Source organism: Homo sapiens, chromosome 2 (genome assembly GCF_000001405.40).
Source record: "Homo sapiens chromosome 2, GRCh38.p14 Primary Assembly".
NCBI lineage: Eukaryota > Metazoa > Chordata > Mammalia > Primates > Hominidae > Homo > Homo sapiens.
This window is the reverse complement of record NC_000002.12, coordinates 66,015,692-66,040,591: the sequence shown is the minus strand read 5'-3', so window position 1 is coordinate 66,040,591 and position 24,900 is coordinate 66,015,692. Positions and strand designations below refer to the sequence as shown.

The window sequence follows — 24,900 nt, the reverse complement described above, 5'->3', positions numbered from 1 at the left end:
AATCTCCACTCCAGGGCATGGACATAGTCCCCCGGATATGTATCTTGTTTCTGGACAAAGAAGACATATCCAGAGGCTGACCATACAGAACACTAGTCCCAACACTGGCCAAGAGTCAGAGGAAGAAAAAACACCTGTCAGATCACTTTCTTTCAACATCACCAAAGTTTGCTGTACTTTCTTCTAGGTGCTTGGAAAAAAGAAAAAGCTTTTCATTCATTATTGTTGTTTTGTTGTGTTTTGTTTTTTCCTGTTTGTTCATTTTGAGAGGGAGTCTCACTCTGTCACCCAGGCTGGAGTGTAGTGGCATGATCTCAGCTCACTGCAACCTCCACCTCCCAGGCTCAAGCAATCCTACCACCTCAGCTTCCCGAGTAGCTGGGACTACAGGCATGTGCCACCATGCCCAGCTAATTTTTGTATTTTTTACAGAGACAGGGTTTATGCCATGTTGCCCAGGCTGGTTTGAACTCCTAAGCTCAAGCTATCTGCTGTCTTGGCCTCCCAAAGTGCTGGGATTACAGGTATAAACCACCACCCCTGGCCTTTTTTATTCATTATTTTTAATATAAAGTATATCAAATTCTATAAAGACATATGTGTCTTTAAGGACACAATCTTCATCATTTCTTAGACCAAGTTTTACTGCCTTGGAAAATCATGGAATTGGAATGAGGACCACTGTTGCACTTTAACATTAAGTTGGGATTCACTGAAGAAAATTCTCATTATGGTGATCCATCATTCTCAAAGACTCTCATGAACAGATGGGAGTATCACTGTACAAAGTTTTCTTCCCTGGACATATTGATATTTGAGCTGCAACAGTTTTCTAAAAAATCAGACTTTCACCTTAGGAAATTCTAACAGGAAAGAGAGAAGGTTGTGAAGAGTTTCCAGGGCCAATTTTTCCATTTCTTAGCCAGACAGAGGAAATGTGTGAGACGTAGGGGCTGTGTACCTCTGATTTCCTTTATTTCCAGATTGCTTTTTTGCCCCGATGCTCATTTGCACTTTTAGGTCGATGTGCTTGGGGCACATGGGTGTGTGTGTATATGTGTGCATGTGTGTGTATGTACGTGTGTATGTGTAAATATATAGATGTGTGATAAATGCATTTAGTTCTACTGCCTCCTCTGATATGGAGACTTCTTTCTTTGCATCCCAGTTCTTTTGCCTCAAGGAAAAACACAAATATAAATATTCTTATGCTAAGGTTTTGTGATGGTTAATTTTACGTGTTAACTTGGCTAGACCAAAGTAGCCAGATTAAGTCTAGATGTTGCTGGGAAGTTATTTTTTCCATGAGATTAACATTGAAATCAGTAGACTTTGAGTAAAGCAGATTACCCTCCATAATGTGGATGGGCCTCATCCAATCAGCTGAGGGCCTTAAAGAGAAAGAGGGAATTCTACTAGCAGGCTGCCTTCAGACTCCAGCTTCAGCCTCATCTCTTCCCTGGGTCTCCAGGCTGCCAGGCTACCCTGTAAATTACAGAATTGCCAGCCTCCAAAATTGCATATATACATGAAATACACAGACACACACACACACACACATATACACACAGATATATATTATATACACATACACACATCCTATTGGTTCTGTTTTTCTGAAAAACCCTAATACAGGCCTCTTCCCCAAAATTAAATCAAATAAGGTAGCTAAATCCTACGTGATATTATTTAATCCATTCATGGTATCCTCCTAGAGTCTTCTCTGAGTTTTACATGGTTTTCTGGGCTCTTTGTCTTGAATGAGAGGAGGCAGCAGAAGCCCACACGTACACTTACCCCTCATCAGAGATCTCAAGGAGCAGAACGACCCCTCCTTCCTTCTCTTTTGCTGCTTCATTTGGGAAAGGTGATTTCACCTACAAGCATGCCTTCTCCCCCACAGCCTGGAGCTTGAGTTTCAGTATCAGAGATGAGACAGGGAGTTTATCTGAAAAGCTAGCCAAGAGGCAACTGCTGCTACTCTCCCAGCATGTGTAAAATTTTTGCACAGCTGCAGGTTTCAAGGACCCTGAGTGTGAGGATGAAGAGCAGCAGGCTGGATCCCAAGCTTTCCAGAAATTTCTGAGATATGAATCAGAATTCAGCTGAGTTGAGGAACCTCCATGAAGATCATGGGGACACGCTGTGGGATGAATAGGAGTCTGTGGCCAGGACTCTTTGGACGACGTCGCTGTCACTCAGACGACATTAAACAGTTAGGCTCAGCTTCAAGGGGACGCTGAATCACGTATGCCCTGGGTGTGTTCAAAATCCACCGGTGAGGTTAGCCCAAACGCTCACATTTTGCTTTCCTATGCATAAGTATCAAAGTAAGTGCAGGCCCCTCAACAACATAATCCATTATTAAAAACTGAAAGCAGCTGGTCAGATTTTTAAACTTTCTACACAGAGAAACGCATCTGGTCCCAGTTTGCTGCATAGAAATCAGTTTCATTCTTTTACTCAGCCCGGCTACAGAAACCATCGGGATAGCCTGGACCTCATTCACGCGCAAGAATTTGCAGCCTTTCCCCACTGCTGGTGCCATTCTACCTCCAGCTTGGGAGCCACCGCAAAGCAGGGAGTCTGAAATTCCACCAGTTCAGAATGACGAGACTGGGAATCAGCAAAGCAGCTCTGGTTCCTCAGAGAAATCTCTAGACAGGTCATATGTATGAAGGGAAAAAATCATTTGTAATGGATTGTCTCCGAACCAGTTTTTTAAGATTGTGCAAAGTTGAAGTATCGACTAACATTCTGTTCATTTCAAAGGAATGCCTTGGCCATAATTTATCTCTTTGATTCCACTGACCATCAGCAGTTGTGGCCATTTTCTGCCCGGCCGTGGAGAACAGTTAAATGATGATGTCCGTACCCCCCTTGACTTCCCTTCCAGCCTGTTTCAGCAGTCTCACCAGGCACTTCCTGTCTCCCCAGCCCCACTGTCTGGCACTTATTTCAGACAAGTCAATATGTTTAAATTATATCTGAACTCAACATAATTAATCATAAAGCTTTATGCCTTGTAATGTGCTTTTTTTTTAAACTTCTGGTTGGCATTCCACTGAATCACAATTAAAAAGAAAAAGCTATCCACAATGCACTGTGAATATCACCTCAACCTTCAAGCTGGGAATCCTTTCTGGACAAGGCTGCACAAGGAGCATGTCGAACACCTCTGTTCTTTTAGGGATCCAAATAAGAGGGTCAGGATGGCATTTCAGGAAATGTTAAGCAGATCAGAAGAAAAACACACATGCGCTGGCTAGGTCCCAGTGAACAGAAACAATCTAATTTGAAAACCTAAAAGTCAGGTGATGGGTTTTCTCTTTAATGCATTTTGCAAACAGAGCAAAGGCTTTGAAGCTCACCACATAATTATGCCATGGGACTGTATTGGATACATGTTACTGAAGATTGATAGGTGCTTCCTTTAAGTGGATTGCAGCCTTCTTCAGTTTTAATGGCCATCTTATATCATATGACCTTAGTACTCAGTTTCATTATTCCTATCTAGTCCAGAGCTAGTATTCATAGGATGTAATCATTCTTGACTCTCTGGAAAGTAGATTGGCTCTCAATCCTCAGTGAAAAATTTCCCATCTAGGAAGTGAGTGAGAATTATTATCTATTATGATTTGTTTCTACCCACAGAACACTCTGACACCAAATGTATAAGGGATTTTTCCCCCACACCAGCTACTTCCCTGACACCAGGTGGGTGTTCTATAATTCAACTGTACTCAATTTTGACACTATCTACCTGGAGTTACTGTTAGATCCCACAAGTTAAGGGCTTAGTGCCACAAGACTGCTCCCATTTCAGACATCAATTACAAGTCCCAGGCCTTTCATACTTAGGACCAACTGGTTATGTATCAGGGGTTCCCATGACCTCCTCTCAGATTTTGCTAAACTGGCTCATAAAACTCAGAAAAATAGTTTACTTACATTTACTGGCCTATTATAAAGAATACAACTCAGAAATAGCCAATAGAAGAGATGCACAAGACAAGGTATGGGGGGATTCATGGAGATTCCATGCCTTCCCTGGGCATGCCACTCTCCTAATATAATCAGCCCTCCATGGTTCCCGCATCCACAGATTTAACCAAACTCAGATAAAAATATTTGGGAAAAAACAATTAAAAATAATAATACAACAATAAAAAATAATGCAAATTTTTAAAATACAGCATAACAATTATTTATATAGCATTTATACTGTATTAGGTATTATAAGTAATCTAGAGCTGATTTAAAGTACATGAGAGGATGTATATAGGTTATAGGCAAATACTGTGCCATTTTATATACAAGACTTGAGAATTCTACATTTTGGTGTCTGAAGAGGGTCCTGGCACCAACTCCCCCAGTGGATACCAAGATACTACTATACTTTGATGTGTATGCCAGCCTGGGAGCTTTCCAACCCCTTTATTTAGAATATCTATGTAGGGTCTATCACTTAGCCATGATTGATTAAGTCACTGGTCATTGATGATTAACTCAATCTCTAGCCCCTCTCTCCTCTTGGGGGGGTCAGGGGATGGGGTTCAAAATTCCAGCCCTCTAATCACATGGTTGGTTCCTCTGGCAATCAGCCCCCATCCGGAAGCTATCTAGGGGCCCACCAAGATTCATCTCATTAGCATACACTCAGGTATGGTTGAAAGGAGCCTATTATGGATAATCAAAGACACTCCTCTCACTTCTATCACTCAGGAAATTCCAAGGGCTTTAGAAGTTTTTGTGTCAGGACATATGTTTATTGCGGCACTATTTACAAGAGCAAAGACTTGGAACCAACCCAAATGCCCATCAATGATTCACTGGATAAAGAAAATGTGGCACATATACACCATGGAATACTATGTAGCCATACAAAAGGGTGAGTTCATGTCCTTTGCAAGGACATGGATGAAGCTGGAAACCATCATTCTCAGCAAAGTAACACAAGAATTGAAAACCAAACACTGCGTGTTCTCACTCATAAGTGGGAGTTGGACAATGAGAACATATGGGCACAGGGAGGGGAACATCACACGCTGGGGCCTGTCAGGGGGTGGGGGGCAAAGGGAGGAATAGCATTAGGAGAAATACTTAATGTAGATGGTGGGTTGATGGGTGCAGCAAACCACCAAGGCACATGTATACCTATGTAACAAACCTGCACGTTCAGCACATGTACCCCAGAACTTAAAGTATAATTAAAAAAAAAAAGTTTTTGTGTTAGGAACCAAAGAGAAGACCAAATAGACATACATACATACATACACACACACACACACACACACACACACACACACATACACACATACATTTATATATATGTTTTTAATTTGCTTTTTTGAGACAAGGTCTGGCTCTATCATCCAGGCTGGAGTACAGTGGTGTGATCTCAGCTCACTGCAACCTCTGCCTCCCCAGCTGAAGCTATGCTCCCACCTCAGCCTCCCAAGTAGCTGGGATTACAGGCATGCACTACCACACCCAGCTAACTTTTGTATTTTTTGTAGAAATGGCGTTTTGCCATGTTGCCCAAGCTGGTCTCAAACTCATGAGCTCAAGCGATCCATCCACCTCAGCCTCCCAAAGTGCTGGGATTACAGGCATGAGCCACAGTTCCCAGCATAATATATATTTATTATAGCACAATGTCACACCATACTAGACACTCAAAAGAGATGGGGAAAAGGTAAATCTAAAGTTCAAAAAAATGGAGCTGGGGACTCACTTAGAGACACAGCCTTCCAAAAAAGCTAACAACTTTACATGCATTTCAGAATTTATAAAAATTAATATATGCCATAGCATTAGTCAGGACTCAGGGTAGCAAACAGATACTCTGTATTTTAAGAAGGAGGAAATATAATACAAGGAATCAAGTGATTTCAAAATCACTGGAATGGCTGCAGGAGCAGGTTCTGGACAAGCCTTCTGGAATGACTCCCAGAACCATGTAATGCTGATACCCAGGGAGAATGATGAAAAAGAATTATAGAGGCTATTGCAGGACAGTAGCCATTTATGTAAATAACATCTTAAATTAGGATTAGTCCTACTAGTTGAAGTACCATCATCATGTAACATAGGTCTTGATGTAACAACAAAACCAAAACCAAAAATAAAAACAACTGGCCGGGTGCAGTGGCTCATGCCTGTAATACCAGCATTTTTGGGAGGCAAAGGCAGGTAGATCACTTGAGGTCAGGAGTTCGAGACCTGCCTGGCCAACATAGCGAAACCCCATCTCCATCTCTACTAAAAATACAAAAATTAGCTGGGTGTGGTGGCATATGACTGTAATCCCAGCTGCTTGGGAGGCTGGGGCAGGAGATTTGCTTGAACCTGGGAGATGGAGGCTGCAGTGAGCTGAGATCATGCCCCTGCACTCCAGCCTGGATGACAGGGTGAGACTCAGTCTCAAAAACAATAATAATAATAAATAAAATAAAATAAATGTTTTAAACCTTCCTCACCCTGATACCCATGCACATTCTCCAAGGCCCATTTTTTTCTATGATTATTGCTATTCTGAGGTGGGCATTCTAAGACATATGCACAAGTAATAATAAAATAGTTTATCTAATATTGTAAGGAAGTTAACAGTATGTATTTATCTGGGCAGATCCCAAAGGAGACAAATTGAAAATAGCTGGCTGTCCACATTATAATCACAACACCATAATGAGAAAGCATTAGTTAATCTTAGTCAATATATTAATTGCCTTAATCAAAATTTGAGACTTGAGGGAGTCATTAAATGTATTCTAAGACAGGGGTGGGTAAACTATCACTACACCTATTTTGTAAATAAAGTTTTATTGGGGCATACCTACATCCGTTTACCTGTTGTTAATGGCTGCTTTTGGACTCCAGTGGCAAAGTTGACGAGTTGCAACAGAGCTAGTATAGCCTACAAAACTTAAAATATTTACTATCTACCCACTTTAGAGGAAAGTCCACTGACCTCTGATTTAGAGTAGCAGGGACCACCTAAAAGATTCACAGACTCCAGTTCTCAATATTAGTACAGATTGACACACACTAATTGTCACCAAACCATTCAAACACTGAATCACAATGGAGAATCAGGTTTTCCACAAGAAAAGGTTATTTGACAATACAGACTTGCTTTTTAGTTATCTGCTGGACAAAGCAGGAAGCACTGTTCTTAAAAATTCTGGCTACTGAAGGAAGGTAGCTTTTTTCAAAGATTCTACATTCAAAAGAGGAAAGGTGCTTTCTAGAGCAGAGCTGTCCAATAGAACTTCCTGCAGTGATGGGTAAGTTTTAATATTCAAGCAGTACAATACACCTGAACTGAATTTTTAATTTAATTTAATTTTAATTAGTTTTAATTTAAATAACCACATATTTCTAGTGGCTGCTATATTGGATAATGCAATTCTAAATCATAACCTTAAGTCTTATATTCTCCTCTTTGTTATGTCATTAATAAAACTTGTTTAAAGACAAAAGATTTCAATGTAACTGATAGGTAAATGGACAGACTCACAAATCAATAAAGATCTAAAAAATATGTTACAAAATTCATCTGGAAAAATTTTGTATAAATGAAAAATGCCCTCTTATTTACTGCACATAAAAATCTGTAAAGGCAGTGAAATGTGGTAGAGTGAAAGGGTGCCATTAGGCCTCAAGTGTTGAAAACATTTTCAGCCTTTGGGGGACTTTGGTTTCTAGGACTGAGTCTCTTTTTGCATGAACTAGAGTTCAAGTCTTTAACTTCATTCATAAAGAAATATTTTAAATCATTGATCAGTTCCAAATATGCAGATTTACTGCTTACATTTTCCTTTCTGGCTCACATCATATTTATTTGTTAGATTTGTTTTTCTTACTAACTCAAATGCTGTTCTTTCTCATTTGGACAGCCAATTACTTTTGAGGAAGTTACATCATATCTGCTTTTCACACTTAACCATCACCGCAATAAAAAACACCTAGAGTACTACCTCAAATTATGTCTGAGTATGAACATTCATTTCTCTTCTTCCCTATTGCATCTCTCTGGGTGTGAAAGAAACAGATTGGAAACTCCCAACATACCCACTCCTGACCAACTCTAAGGAATATGAGGAGTGACAACCCAGCTGCCAACTTCCCCTGTTCCAGACTCACATGTCTGTCAGATTAACAGGACATGGGCCACATTTCTCCAGCTGGACATCTGGGCTCTGCAGCTGCTGCAAGGACCCCATGTGGCTAGGAATGTCAGCCTAACTCTGAGATCAAGTCAAGCAAAGGAGAAATGGCAGGATTCTGTGTACCTGAGCCACCCCATGTGACCACTCCTACCCCATACCTTTGTCAAATCTCAAAGGATACAATATACACCAGAGCCAAAACTATGTCACAAAATGCCAAAGTGCCATGTTTGGGAAGTAAGCAATAAAAAATTGCCCCTGTGACTCGGAATAAGTTCTGTGGCTATATCCAAGCTTTGGGGCAATTGTTCTTTTTGAAACTTAAAATCTAAGAAAAGAAAAATGACTTGAGGTCTATTTCATTATGTCTAACACCCTTTCTTCTTCTATGTAGAGACACTGACAAGGTGGGCTATATTCAACACAGCAGTGCTCAGTGATTCAGTTTCTCAAACTTCAGTTGACAATCTTTGTAGCATTCTCCTTTCAAGATGATAAGGACTTCTCAAGGAAACCTCATGCATTTAAGTCTCCAAACAAAGGAGAAATCTAGAAAGTTCTAGAAAAGAACAATGGAAAAGTCCTCAGCAGCAGCAACCTTGTTCACTAGGTGTTAGGACAAGGGAGATTTCTTCCTCCACCACCTCAATTAGAAATCTAAAGGAGACCTATTATTACGCCTGTCACTGATAGTCTTATTTCAAGACCATGCCATGGCTTTAAGGCCCTCAAAGGGATGTTTTCACTCTGCAGCAGGCTGGAACTCTCGCCTTAGGTGTAATGATAACTGCGGAAAGTCAAAACCACCAGTCCATTCAGGTTCCAATTGTAAACAAAACGTCTGTGTGATAGATACAATTTCTGACTGTGACTGTTTCTACATTCGCCATGGCAGTGCAAGTTTCCAGAACGATTGTGGTTAGAATTTTGGTCTAAACTGATCAGTCATGGTTCCCAAAGTCACTGTAAGCACAGTAACCAATACTCCTGTGTTTCTGCCAATTGTGCTACTGTGTAGACAAACCACAGATGATAAGATTGGCTTAGTTGCAACTGGAATGGTCTCCAGTGGGCTAAACTGCCACATGCAAAAGGCCTTGTAATTTTTGTCAAGGCAGAGGTGGCTGCTACATCCCAGAGCTACTGTGCTTGAGTGTGTTGTTCCTGGACTTTCAGGGGGAAAGTCCCTCAATGAGGGCACAGATGAAAGAAGAAGGAGTGCTGGATGTCAGAGGCCCAAAACCTACAAGTCTCCTAACCTCTCTGTGCATCAGTTTTATTATTTGTAAAGTGGGCATATGAAAAGCTACTTTACAACTTGTTTTAGGAATCAAACAACATAACATACATGTTATTGTCAAATGGTGAGCAATAAAAAGTACCAACTATAAAATGCCTTGATTTTACTACTGAATGGGAAATAACTCTATGATGCCAACCAAAAATTTCTGCCAAAACCAAGTGTTTTCAACTTCTCCTCTATCTGGAGGTATAATTTCGTACCTCCAACCCTTTCCTTGAGCCATAGAAGCAGTATCTATTCTGGCTGCCCCATCTTACAGTGTGTATATAAAGTCAGCCTTAATACTCTGATTGCAGGGATAAGGCTTGTCCCTGTGGCTCACTAGAAACTTATTTCCTGCTGTTGTTGCAGTAACTCCATTTTTCCCAAAGGGGTCATGATACAAAGGAAGTCACTATGTAGCTAAATCAGCCTGCAGCTAACAGACAAAATCCCCAGATGGACATTCAAATTCCAATCCATTATATATCATTCCTTCCCCAATCAGTGTCATACCCACTTGCCCTCTGTTATGGGTTGAATTGTACTCCCCCCACCAAATCCATATGTGGAAGTACTAACTCCCAATACTTCAGAAAATGAACTTATTTGGAGATAGTATCTATGCAGAGGCGATTAATTTAAAAAGTGGTCATTAGGGTGGGCCCTAATTTAATAATGAATGACATCCTTATAAAAAGTGAAAATTTGGAGACAGACACACAGGAGGAACACAGCATTAAGATGAAGGCAGAAAGCAAAAAGAACAAATCTGTAGGCATCACATTACCCGACTTCAAACTATAATACAAGGCCAGAGTTGAGTTACCAAAACAGCATAGTGCTGGTATAAAAATAGGCACACAGACCAATGGAACAGAATAGAGAACCCAGAAATAAACCCAAATACTTACAGCCAACTGATCTTCGACAAAGCAAACAAAACATACAGTGGGGAAAGAACACCCTGTTCAACAAATGGTGCTGGGATAATTGGCAAGCCACGTGTAGAAGAATGAAACTGGGTCCTCATCTCTCACCCTATATAAAAATAAGCTCAAGATGGATCAGAGACTTAAATCTAAGATCTGAAACCATAGAAATTCTAGAAGATAACATCGGAAAAACTCTTCCAGACATTGGCTTAGGCAAAGACTTCATGATCAAGAACCCCAAAGCAAATGCAATAAAAACAAAGATAAATAGATGGGACTTAAACTAAAAAGCTTCCACACAGCAAAAATAATAATAATCAGCAGAGTTAACAGACAACCCACAGAGTGGGGGAAAATATTAACAATCTATAATCCAACAACAGACTAATATCCAGAATCTACAAGGAACCCAAACAAATCAGCAAGAAAAAAACAACCCCATCAGAAAGTGGTCTAAGGACATGAAAAGACAATTCTCAAAAGAAGATACAAAAATGGCCAGCAAGCATATGGAAAAATGCTCAAAATCACTAATTATCAGGGAAATGCAAATCAAAACCATAATGCGATACCATCTCACTCCTACAAGAATGGCCATATTCAAAAAATAATAGATATTGGCACAGATGTGGTGAAAAGGGTACACTTTTACACTGTTGGTGGGAGTGTACACTAGTACAGCCACTATGGAAAACAGTGTGGAGGTTCCTTAAAGAACTAAAAGTAGATCTACCATTTGATCCAGCAATCCCACTCATGGGTGTCTACCCGAAGGAAAAGAAGTCATTATACGAAAAAGATACTTGCACACACATGTTTATAGCAGCACAATTTGCAATTGCAAAAATATGGAACCAGCCCAAATGCCTATCAATCAATGAGTGGATAAAGAAAATGTAGTATATATAAACCATGGAATACTACTCAGCCATAAAAAGGAACAAAATAATGACATTCACAGCAACCTGGTTGGAACTGGAAATTATTATTCTAAGTGAAGTAACTCAGGAATGGAAAAACCAAACATTGTTTCTCACTCTTACGTGGGAGCTAAGCTATGAGGATGCAAAGGCCTAAGAATGATACAATGGACTTTGGGGACTAGGGGGAAAGGGCAGGGGATTGTGAGGGATAAAAGACTATACACTGGGCCGGGCCCGGTGGCTCACGCCTGTAATCCCAGCACTTTGGGAGGCCGAGGCGGGTGGATCATGAGGTCAGGAGATCGAGACCATCCTGGCTAACAAGGTGAAACCCCGTCTGCGTCTCAAAAAAAAAAAAAAAAAAAAAGACTATACACTGGATACAGTGTATACTGCTCAGGTGATGGCTGCACCAAAATCTCAGAAATCACCACTAAAGAACTTATTCATGTAACCAAACACCACCTGTTTCCCAAAACCTATTGAAATTAAAAAAAATGTAAAATAATAAATAAATAAAAACAATCTGATACCTTAAAAAAAAAAGATGAAGATAGAGATCGAGTTGATGTTTCTATAAGTTGAGGAATACTAAAGATTGTCAGCAAACTACCAGAACTTTGGGAAGAGGCCTGGAATAGATTCTTTCTCACTACGAGAAAGGTGAGGTTATCAATGTGATGATAAAATGGCTAAAGAAGGAGCCAACCCTGCTGACACCTTGGTCTTGGATTTCTAGCCCCCAGAACCATGAGTCAAATCTGGTGTTTAAGCCATTAAGTTTGTGATATTTGTTATGGCAGCCCTCACAAACCAATACACTCTGAGGGGTTATTCTCTAACTGAGAGATATGGGTTATTTTATAGAAGAGAGGAAAGGCAATGAGGGGAAGTGTAGTAAGCCATTCTCACGTTGCTATGAAGAAACAATTGAGATGGTGTAATTTATAAAGAAAAGAGTTTGAATTGGTTCACGGTTCTGCAGGGTGTACAGGGAGCATGGTGATATCAGTTTCTGGGGAGGCCTCAGGAAACTTACGATCATGACGGAAAATGAAGGGGAAGCAGGCACATCTTACATGGCTGAAGCGAGAGGAAGAGAGAGAGAAGGGAGGTGCTACACACTTTTAAACAAACAGATCTCACAAGAACTCACTCACTAACATGAGAACAGCACCAATGAAGAAGTCCACCCCCATCATCCAATCACCTCCCACAAGGCCCCTCCTCCAACATTGAGGATTACAATTTGACATGAGATTTGGGCAGGGACACAGATCCAAACCATATCAGGAAGGATCTAACATTGCTTGAAAACATACTTTATTTCAAGGGTTTTGCATTGTTATGTTACACCATTTGATCCTCATCAAAACCCTGCAAAGAAGGTATCATCTCCATTCTGCAGATGAAGAAACTGAAGCTCAGAGAATTTAATTAATTTCATAATATGCAGCAGGCAGCAAATAGCAAAAGTAAGCTCTGTCCCTTTGTCCCCAGGCTTGGTTCTGAAGACCTACATGGTCCCCACTTCCTCACTGTGCCATCTGACCCTTGGAGTGGAGTCTCACATCAGCTCTAGACATTTTGGAATTTCTTCTGTCTTGTATTGTCCTAATAAAAATTCAATTCCTTGCTCCAGTAATTGAATTTTTATTTTATTCAACTCCATACATTCACACTACCTGGAAGCTAAACCAACTGCAAAAAGAGAAGGTGATGTTTTACATTTGACATTACCTTCTGGTTGTGTGATCATTTTCCAATCTGCTCAACCGTAACCAGAATTTTCTTTCTTGAAGAAAGCAAGATTGAGTTTTTCCTAATTTTCCTCAGAGTTTGAAATGCAGAAGGTGAAGTTGTCACTATGACAGCACAACAGCTAAACCATGAGAAGAGAGTTGATATCAGTTTCTGATTGGCTGGAGTGGCATGAGGAAATCTGGAGACCTTATACATTAAACCCAGTTTCCTGTCAGAACTCACTCAGTCTCCACTTGGAATTCCATTGTTTTTGCACGGACCATCCAGAGAAACACGCTTGATACTGTTTCTGCTCTCACTTTTATATCTTAACTTTTCGGAGGCTGAGGGGTAGTGGAGGGGAGAAATGTATTAGCTTTGTTTCTCATGTACACAATAAGAGTTCCTACGGGACCTGTTGGAAGCCAATCCAGAGAAAACATAAAAGATGACAACTCCTCTCTGCCATTTGCAGTCTGTGCAACATCGGTTGCATAGCCAGCATCAGTTTTCTGGGTTTTTTTTTTGTTTGTTTTTTTTGTTTTTTTTTTAGGAAGGAAGTCGTGGAAAAATAAGGTAGCTATGAAGATGTCTGTCCTCAACTCTTTGAAAGCTATATTAGCTTTCAAAGTACACTGGGGAGCAGCATGGAAAATGAAGTGGGATGTTAAAGTGGTTAAGAACTCATGCTTTGGGGTTAAAACTGGGTTCAGATTCCAGCTCTTCTTTATTATCTGCAGGAAAAATACTTAGTTCCACCAAGTTTAATTACTTGAGCTTTAAAAAATGCATGGGGGAGAGGGGAAGGGTTTTTAATTTAACTCCACAAGACTGGCAAAAATGATTAATTTAAATGACACAAAAGTGTAAGGGGCGTGGCATGCATTAGGTACTCAAAAATAGTAGCTTTTAAAATGATGAGATTAGAGAGTGTGTTCCTGGGCTTCCTCCCTTGTCTGAGCCAGGGTGGACAAGTCATCCTCCCTGTACCACAGATCCTGACTATAAGCGGGGACTGGCACCTCCTTTGCTCACTTAAACCATGCTGCATTTTGGGAGAAATCCCTAGGTGAATTTTGGCCTTTGTAATCTGTGCTATGTGGCAATTATGCAGCAATGCACTATATATGCAAGTTGGAGCACTGCTGGCAAAGACTGCAGTATATGAGCTCAAGCTAGACCCTAGCCTTGACAACAACCAACCAGCAGCAGCAATCTGACCTTCGGTCAGGTACCCAGTATGAAAAAGCAGTCAGAAATATATCTTCCCTCCACACCCTACACTTTCCCACCAAACTACAAGGAGTGAGAGTACCGCCACCCCTCCCAAGAGGGCAAACGGGGAAGTCCAGGAGGTCTGGGTTGTTGGCCTAGAGTTATAAAGCAACATGTTGGAAGAGTTGAAAAATGGAGCTCAAGCCTCAGAAATGGGGAAGGAAGGACAGTGTCCTCCTCTTAGGGAGAGGCTGAAAACTCCAAACAGATGACTCCCAGGCACTCCTCCATCCCGGAGTAGACCTCCTGAGGCCCCAATTACACAAGGACCCGTGGATTTCCCATGGCTGTCATTGCCTTTAAGAGATTTGAGCCTGGAGGCCACCTCCCTGGCATTGCCAAGGGTGAGTTTGTCTCTGCAGCACAGAAGGAAGAGGATGTCCACCAGACATGTGAATAGATGTCATCCAGACACCCAACAAAACAAAGAAAATAATGATGACAACCCAAGCTGAATGGTATGATTTAATTTCTAAATTGAGATGATTTTGGAAACTTACCAAATCTCCAGTGTCCAAGCATTCATCTATTTGTTCAATAAATATTTTTTCTGTACCAAAGACACATCAGGCTCTGTGCTAAACACTGGAGATATAAAGGTAAATGATACAGATATGTCCTAACCCCATAAAGGCTGCAATCTAGTCAGCAAAGATGGACAAGTGCAATGTTAGGACAGTAGAAGGTGACATGCATTATTTATTTTGGTTTCCCCAGTAGAGGCTGCTCAGTGATGGGCACAGAGCAAGAACTCAAGAAATGATGTATAAGTGGCTGAAAATAACTCACATTTATTGAGTATATACTATGCACCAGGCATTGTTCTAAGCACAATGTATGAACTCATTTTATACATGTAATATATATTTAATGAATTGATATACATAATTAAATAGATTTAATTCATTCATTTAAGAAATAAAAGTAGTAAATGAACAAGTGACGGACACTCAGCTCCCAAAGCTTCCATCCTGAGCACATCTTGAATCCATACAAGAAAGGACAAGAATAAACAATAATGCAGATGAGCTTTGGGATAGGCATCAAGAGACCTGTGTAAGCATGAGAAGGAAAAATGGCTTTTGCAATTGCCACAAGAATAAGCCGGGTTCAAATCCTAAATTCACCCTATAGCTGAGTGATCTCATTCAAGTAATTCAACCTCTCAGACCTCCAATTCCTAATCTATAAAACAAAGTTAGTGCACCTACCTGATGGGGCTGTTCTGAGGGTCACATCAGGTTCCATATACAAGAAAGTGCTCCAGAACTGGGAGGCACACTCAAAACAGTAATTGTTATTATTAAGGCCCTATTGAGAGGCAGCAGAACATGGAAGAGAAACAGAATGAGAGTCCCTAGTTCTAAATCTGTTGTCCATTAGCCAGTTGAAATATGTAAACAAAAGGATTAATTGAGATGATGTGGGTGCCTTATATCACAACACAGCTACTTACATATACAGAGCTACTGTTGTATAATGGGTAGGGGGGAAAGCAAGTCCTTCCTTGGGAATGAGTCACCACAGGCTTTCTAAGGCTCTCTGGATAATCTCTGTGAGCCAGTTTAAAAGAACGGAGTGAACTGGGTGAACTACCAAGCCCCTCCTCTCCTGGGAGCCAAGGATCATCCCATGTGGGTGTGAGAAGCACGTGACTGACTCAAGGTAAACAAGACCCACCTGTGTCTGGATTCCTGGTGCCAGCTGTGGCTAACAGAGGCGTTAATGCTCGCTTAACAAGGAATTGAAAGGGCAGGGAGGTGCGGTCTTCTTCATTGTCAGAGAAGGGCTGTCTGCAGGTCCAGGGCAGGAGTGGGACAGTCTTTTCAGAGGCAATCCTGTTAGAGAAGCCTTCTCGCACAGTAAATCCCCAACCCACATGGCTAGAGGAAGGATAGTGCTCTTAACTGAGAGGAGAAGTAGCCAGGAAGTTCAGTTAGTATCTGGGTGGGAGCTAAACACACTAAACTGTTAAAGAAAGAAAACTACCCATTTGCACAACAACATCAGATTTTGGAGGGGGAAATTAACAGAATGTCCTTGTTGTGAGCACAGAGTCTCTTCCTTGAATAAATATTCACAAGGCATAGGCACAGTGGGTTAAAAGTTCATACAGACAGCATTGTGTGAGCTTTACAATAAATTCTTACTTGCTTGTCCTTGACTCACTGAACATGAGACATGTTTTGTATATATTATTTTTGATGTTTTATAAAGTGAATGCAGACTCAATAAACCTTCAAATGCACTGCATGAGTTAATTAGGTGTGTTTGACCCTGCACTTTTGAATGCTTGCGTACTAGAAAAGAACTATGCTACATCTGCGGTTGGGTTTAAAATTAATTCACTAAGGCCTTGGTTCAAAAAGAGTTAATTGATGTCAAGAGCCATCTCTTCAGACTCTAAGCTGCTTTTGAAAATGGACTTGATACCACAAGAATTTCAATTTGGGGTTTCAAAAACTCTAAACCTGTGAGGTTACAAACTTGGCAGAACCTGCTCTGCCTTTGCTGTGAACAGAACACATGCTATTTTGAAATATAAATCTACACAAGCAGACTGTGATTTTGATCCACAAGCAGAATTTATAACTCCTTAGGTTAACTGTTACAGAAGTTATAACAAACTGGAAAATATGTGCAGCAAGTAATTGTCTGATTTACAGGGGAATATTGTAATGGGGCCCCACTAACCTAGTGTTTTAGAAAGCTTATTTTTAATTTTTTAAATGTTTTTGGTCTACAAGCCCTGTTGCTACTGTCCTGGTCAGGTGAGAAGAGCCCGTAGAACTGTACACCTGGGATCAATATAATGACTCACCTGATGTTAATTTTCAGCCTGTGCCTGCTAAAATTCAAACCAAACCACAACTGCAGAAGTTCCAAGACACCTCTGCCTGCCACACAGCCCTTCATCACTTATACTGATGTACTGTGTTACAAATTCTATCTAATCAACTGACAATTTAAGGAGTGGAGAATTCAACAAGAATAACAACGTGGTGACAATTTAGTTTTCTGCCCCTTCCTTCATAAAAACAGCGTCTTCTATTTGTTCCCCACCCAAGTTGAGGCATTTCACTAATTTGCTAGTCATTAAAAAGATATTTTTATACCCAGTCTGTAATATTATACTCTTCAGTGATTATGATAGCTCCCAACAGAATTCCAGACTCAAAAATGAAAGCCAGGAAGCTGAATTGTAATTATGATACTTCAAATAATCCCACGAAAGTAGAACCACTGTTAAGTAATTTATGGTCTTTGATCTTGTCACAGATCTACTGAAATCTTCACATCACTCAAGCTAAATATTTTCCATCGGAAAAAGGATAGTTACTTTCCCCTCTACCACCCACATCCCCAAGCTGAAGATACAAAAATAAAGGTTCCAGATGTTTGTCTTGTTTTGAGGTCAGACCCCAAGATGGGCATTTCTGACAGCCTTATCAGGTATCTGCCAGAATCAAGTATTTTGGTCGACATTTGACTCAACTTGTCTGATTTAACCATCTCTAAAATAGAACTGAGAGGAGGTGAGAGAACACATAACTTTTGATTGAATTTCTCTGAATTTTTGGAAGAACTAGATCAGGGCTGTCCAATGTTTTGGCTTCCCTGGCCACACTGGAAGAAGAACAATTGTCTTGGGCCACACATAAAATACACTAAAAACAGCTGATGAGAAAAAAAAAATACTAAAAAAAACCCCTCACATTTTAAGAAAGTTTACAAATTTGTGTTGGGTTGCATTCAAAGCCATCCTGCATGTGGCCCATGGGCTGTGGGTTGGACAAGCTTGAACCAGACATATGGCTCTCAAACCTCACTATACATTAGACTCACAGAGCGTCCGGCACCAACTCCAGAATTTCGATTTCAGGAGATCTAGGGTGCACGCAACAATTTGCCTTTCTCGTAAGTTCCCAGGTGATACTGATGCTACTGGTCTAGGGACTGCATTTAGAGAACCCATGAGCTAAATCTATGGCTTCTGTTTCCTTAGACAGAAGGAAAAAGAAATTATGACCTGAAGGACTTTGAATTCTTAGGCTCCATCAGGGCTGTCTTGGGATAAGTCTCAGGAGGAAATGGGGCGGCGCTAAGTCTCTCCAAGGCCAAATCTAGAGTTCATTTAAAGAAGCAATCCTGTTAGAGGAGCCTGCTTGCATTGTGAAGCCCCAACCCACATGGCTAAGGGAAGGATAGTGCTCGTAACTGAAAGGGGAAGTAGCCTGGAAGCTCAGTTAGTACCTGGGTGGGAGCTAAAGACACCAAATTGTTAAAGCCGGCAAATTCATAAGGAAAATACAATCTCATCTCACTAGAAGAGAGAAAATCAACAAACAATAAAAAACAGGAACAACAAATCAAGATGGCTCTGGCTCAAGCCCTTCCTGTGACCATGTCTTTTATCCTTAAACAACCCTTAGTTATGTATTTCAGCCACTTAACTTTTAGAAATATGATATAAAAATGAAGTTTACAAATTTAGTTTGGATGTTCTTCATTTGCAGACATTGGCCAAATCTTGTTTGCTAATTCATATGACAGCAATGGTTGCATGGAATTTGTTTGCTGAATTTGCTTTCTTTACAAACATTTTAGGGATGGGAATGGGGATGGGTGCCAAAGAGATTATCAGGACATCATTTAGCTTTAGAAACAAAGAGATCTCAAACCAGATGGAATTTCACAGGCTTTCTGTTGATTTGTTTGCAAAGTCTGCACTAGGAATCCTAGCAAAGAGTTAAGTGATGATATCACTGTTCCCTGACAATCCTCCTGAGTAATTATCCCCATTTTTGCCTCGGGGATCTACAGAACACTGGCTAAAGCAGGTGGGTTGTTTTGCAATAATTTTCCAGATAACTATAGTTGAGTGTATCTGAACAGAGTAAAAAAAAATACCTATTAGAACAGAAAATGTTGAATTCTGTTTGAAGGACTTTGAAAGAATATTACAACTGTTAACTTATAAGCAATCTTTAAAGGCAGACTCTACCTAGGGTAGAGGGGAAAAAAAGGATAACAATCATTTTTGGCTTGTTTTTATTATAAAGGAAATGTTATATTTTAACATTTCCAAATAAAAGTAAACTACCAGGAGACATCCAAAGCCTATGAAACCAAGCTGGTAATAGTAGTAATATCAGACATTTACTGAGCACATACTCTGACCTTCACCACAATCCCAGGAGGAAACACAGACCTGGAGAGATTGGGTAACAAGCCCAGGGTCACATGGCAAGTGGCAGATCTGCAACCAGTGTCTTCTGACTCCAAGTCTCTGGTAGGCCAAAGAGCAGTTCAGTATTTGTAAAATAAAACCGTTTGTTTTCCATAAAGAGTGTTATTGCTATTTGGGGGAAAAGTGAAAAGATGCATATAGAATATTCTTTTGTCTTATAGTTGTGTATACAGGTGGAAGCTATCACATAAGAGCTCCAGTCACTATGGAGACAGCAAATATCAGTGGTCAGGTGCAGGGGAGTTACACCCACGTACCCAGACCTCAGAACCCAATTCGGCTCATTTCCATTTGCTGTCATTCAGGCAGTCATTGTCTCTAATGCTTCGTTGTGTCACACAATTTGCTGAAGGAGCTAGGTGCTCTGCAAACCATGGGCTAAACATTTCGTCTTCCTTGTGATCCTACTAAATCTCTTTCCCAGATCTTGATAGCTCCAAATGAGAAACCACTCAATTATTAACATTCTAAACACTCTTGGTTTAGTAATTTTGATCATTTTTCAAAAGGCAGAAAATATATTTAGCATTTGGCAAGTATGACGTAGCTGAAGTTACCTGTGAGTTTCTCAACTCAGCATATAGCACCTCTCTTTACCAAGCCATAAACTTAAAAGTCATTCTTGTCTCCTCCTATGCCCCTCTTTCTCTACATTTGACCCACCAGCCACTCCTAAAAACTATCTCCAGACTGTATCTTGATTCCATTCACTCTTGTCATCTCTGTTGCCACCTCCTTAATCCAGGCTACTGCCCCATCCCACCTAGACAAATCCAATCACCTTCTACACAGTCTTTGCCCAGCAGCCAGGGGCATTGTTTTCTACTCACCCTTCAAAAAGTACCTTTTCTTTTTAATTATACAACAAGCACATAAATGCACTGTGGTCGTCTGAAAATAAGCCCCCAAAAGATAATCCATGTCTTAAGCCCTGCTCCTGTAAATGTGATCTCATTTGGAAAAAGGGTCTTTGCAGATGTGAAAGGATCCTGTATTGGAGGGATGACCCTGGATTACCTGGAGGGCCTGAAATGGCATCACAAGTGTCCTGGTGAGAGAAAGACAGGGGGATATTACACACACATAAGAGGAAGCAGCAGTGTGACCACAGAGGTAGAGATTGGGGCAATACAGACCCCAGTCAAGGATGCTGGCAGCCACAGGAAGCTGGAGGAGGCAAGGAACAGATTTCCCTATCAGCACCTTGACTTCTGCCCCATGAAACTGATCTCAGACCTCTGGCCTCCAGAACTGAGAGAGAATAAATACGTACTGTTTCAAACCAACAAGTTGTAGTAATTTGTTACTGCAGCCAGAGGAAACTAATACATGCATTATGAAGGTAAAATTGAAAAATCACAGATGAGATTCAAATACCTCTCAATCATCTTCTCCCCTCCCACCTCATTCCATTCCCCTCATCTGGGGTGTCCACTCTCCTAAGTTTTAAGGTATTTTCTTATCAGCACAGTCCTTTCGCTCTCCATTTATATCACATGGAAATACTAAAGAAGGAGGCTACTTATTGTCATATTTTAGTGAACCCAAATTGCTCCTCCAAAATGTATAGTTTACCTCAGTCTGCTTTTGAACTTTACATAAATGAGATAATGCTGTGTATCTTCTTCTGTGACTTTTCTTTTTAATTTTTTTTTTTTTTTTTTTTTTTTTTGGAGACAGAGTCTTACTCTGTTGCTCAGGCTGGAGTGCAGTGGCGTGATCTTGGCTCCCTGCCACCTCTGCCTCCTGGGTTCAAGTGATTCTCCGGGCTCAGCCTCTTCACTAGCTGGAATTACAGGCACACGCCACCATGCCTGGCTAATTTTTTTTTTTTTTTTTTTTTTTTTTGCATTTTTAGTAGAGACAGGGTTTCACCATATTGGCCAGGCTGGTCTCAAACTCCGGACCTCAAGCCTGCCTCGGCCTCCCAAAATGCTGGGATTATAGGCATGAGCCACTGTGCCTGGCCTTGTTCTTCTGTGACTTGCATCTTTCACTGGAGGATATGTTTTTAAGATTTATCCATATTGCTATGAATACAGATTTATGGCCCATTTGTTTTCTCTATCATATATTCCATTCTATGGATACATGATAATTTGTTTATCCACTTAAAATCTGGATTGATTTTAAACAAGGATAAATTTCACCATCATGCTTCCTGCCTTGAGCCTCCACTGCTTCCTACTGCAGTTGCAGTAAGTTAGACCCTTCCCAGTGGTCCACCCTGTCTTTCTCTCATCTCATTTCATCCCAGTCCCCCTGATTCTCTGGCTTTCTCTGGGTTCCTTGAACACATCAAACACACTTCTACCTTAGGACACTCCCTGGTGTTCCTCCCTGGACCACTCTACCCAGAAATTTGCATTCTTGGACCTTTCTTTTTATTTAAATCTTCTCAAATTTCATTCATATCACCTCTGCAGCCTTCCCTGAGCCCCACCCCCCAATCCAAATTAGCACCATCTCCAGTCATTTGTTCCCACACCCCTTGTCTTACTTTCCTCTGTGCACCTCTCCCTATCTGTATTTGCTTCCTGGTCTGTTGTCTGTCTCTGTCCCTAAACTATAGATCTGTGAGATCACAAACCTGTCCTATCCACCACTCTATCCCCAACAGCTAGAATAGCACCTGGCATGGACTATATGGTTAGCATATATTTGTTGAATGGATAAATAAATGAGTGAGTGAATGAAGGTGTGAAAAAATGAATATCCTGAGAGTAGATTAGAGTGAACCAAAATTCAATTGCCATTCATTCCTTGCACAGATTTTACCAAGTGCTTATTTTATGAAAGTCCCTGAGGTGGTACAGGCCCTAGGAAGACACAGTGTGCTCACTACAAATGATTTCTTGATCAACAGACCTGGTCAGTGAGGAAGATCCCATGGAATGTGGTGAGCTGCCATGGCATTTACTGAAATGGAGTTTTAACTTCTTCTCTAACAGCATGCTTTTCCCCTCTCCTATATTTTCAAGTAGGGTAGAGTGTGTGCTCCAGAGGTGACTAAGCCACCTATTATAGGCAAACCAGGAGGTGCTGGCAACCACACCAACCAGGCCTCTCCTTAGGCCAGAGAGAGAGGCTCTCCCCAAGCCTGTCTGTTGCTGTGTGCAGGATTCCACCAGTGGAGGGACTGTCCCCCAACTAACCCTGCCTCCAAGGAAACAAAACATCACGAGAGGCCGAAGACCAGTTTGGGGGCTGGGAAAGAAAATAACAAAAAATAATTTGCCTTATTATTTACTTCACAAGCTTTCAGAGCCTCTTATTACTCTACACTCCACGAATGTGATTCCAAAATGCATCTAGTTTTATTGCAGACAGGTAACATTGGTAATTCCTTCTAGACAGTCCACTTTTTAGACCTTAATTATTTCATCATCTGTACAGCCAGAAAATACACTCACTGAAACGTGTGCAGGAGAAAATTATGGCAAATGATTTTAGGGTATCTCTCATGCTCCCCCCTCCTTTCTCAGCAGTGTTTTTCCTCTTGCTTAAAAAGTAATTCTTAACTATTAGGCTTTATTTCTTTTGATGTTAACTTCAAAACCCAAACACCAAATTAGTATAACAAAGAAAAGCAAAGGGGACAAGTAGTTACAAAATGTATTAACTATGGGGGCTCTAGGGGAGAGGATGACTCAGGAGACTAGGCACAAATAGCAACACCTCTCAAGCCTGAACCACAAGTGAGGCCAAATCTCCATGGACAGAAGCCACTTGGAGTAGTTGGGTACATTAGGTAGGGGAGAGAGGCTTGTAGTGGAGCATTTACCTTGTGGATGAAGTAAGTTGGGTTCTAGTCTTCTCAGCACAACTTACACCATGCAGAACAAAGAGAGATGACTGGCAGCAAGGTCACCTTTACTAACAAGTCACCCTGTGTCTAAAGGTCAAAAAGGTAAATATCCATGGGCACGAGACAGACACTTCAGTGAGTCAAGTTGGCTAGGTTAAGACCATGCTGGATTGGAGAGATGTTGTCCCTCCAAAGGGGATGGGGCCACCAAGACCATTCATAGGCCCTGTATTTCTGGGTTGTCAGAATTTCCAAGAAGTCAGAAATGCAGACATTTTCTGAAGAATCTCTAGTTCTGAATGTTGGCAGCACATCTGAATTCCTTTCAAAATATTCTGGAGCCCACACCAAGCATGTCTACAGGCTGAATTGGCCTTGGGAGCCATCTGTTGGCAACCTCTCGCCTGAGAGTGGTGGCCTCCAGGGCACTGTGAACTTGGTCACAGATATCAGTAGCAACCCCTTTCTTAACAAATATTTTGAAACATCTTCCTTCCCATCATAAGCTAAAATTTAAAGATAACATAACCTACCTATATACCTAATTCAAAAATTTAAATATAATGTTCTAGCTATAATATAAAGGAGAAGTAAAGATCGGTACTTTATACTAAAAATATATGTATTTCAACATGTAAATGCTGGGACACAACCACCCAGGAAAACACAGTGAGGTTGTCAGATGCTTGCCCCATAGAGCAAACTGCTGAGGATGTGACAGCAACAAATGCAGTGATACAGATATATTGGTTAGCAACTCAAATATAATCATGAACAAATGTCTCACTTACAAACATCGACGTCCAGTAGGATGTTTATAAGACATGCAGGATGCAGGACAGTTCCCTGTAGCCTAGGACTGTCCCACAGGACTGTCTTCACATTGCAGGCTGCTCCTGGCTGCTGATCACTGTGACAACCAGAAAGTGTTCCTGCAAAATTCCAAAGGTCCCTTAGAGGGTGGTGCCACCTCTGTTAAGAATCACGGACATAGACTGACCAAACAAGGTGACCAATACACTTGAGTTGGTATCAGATGATACTCTGTTATCATTGGGTTGGTATCAGATGATACTCTAAGTCATCATTCTTCAGTCTGAAATGATTGCTAATTCTGATTATTCTTTGCTAGAGTTTGTTAAGGAAATGCGGGCAAAAAGGCAAGTCCTACAGAGATGCAAAGCCTCATTCATGACCCTGAACAAAGTTTTCCATCATTTTGCTGACTCAAATTCTACTTCGAGGAAAGCCACAAAGATAGTACTGTGTCCATTTTTTTTCAAGCTGTTTTTGTTTCAGCACTTTCTGTTTTTACTGTACAAGAAAATATAAAGCGATATTGCTACCATATCACATGTGATAAATCAATTTTCTCATCTTGGCTCATGGTCTCTTCAGGGAAAGGCCCAAGTATTATATTATACTTTTTATGCCATTACCGGTACTTAACATGGGGCTAAGGACAGTGAGGGTTCTTAATTAACACGTGACAGTCACATACTGGTGGAA

The 24,900-nt window shown here is 40.8% G+C and overlaps 1 long non-coding RNA gene across 2 annotated transcripts in view; it reads right to left on the bottom strand.

The window, feature by feature from the left end:
* LINC02934 (long intergenic non-protein coding RNA 2934) overlaps positions 1–24,900 on the bottom strand; it is a 298,411-nt gene that overhangs the window by 47,894 nt on the left and 225,617 nt on the right. The window contains exon 3 of one of the 2 annotated variants that reach the window (NR_187141.1): positions 24,183–24,323. The exons of the other annotated variant lie outside the window; for it this stretch is intronic. This is a non-coding gene — a long non-coding RNA (long intergenic non-protein coding RNA 2934). The remainder of the gene's footprint in view (positions 1–24,182; positions 24,324–24,900) is intronic. 2 annotated transcript variants of the gene reach the window in all.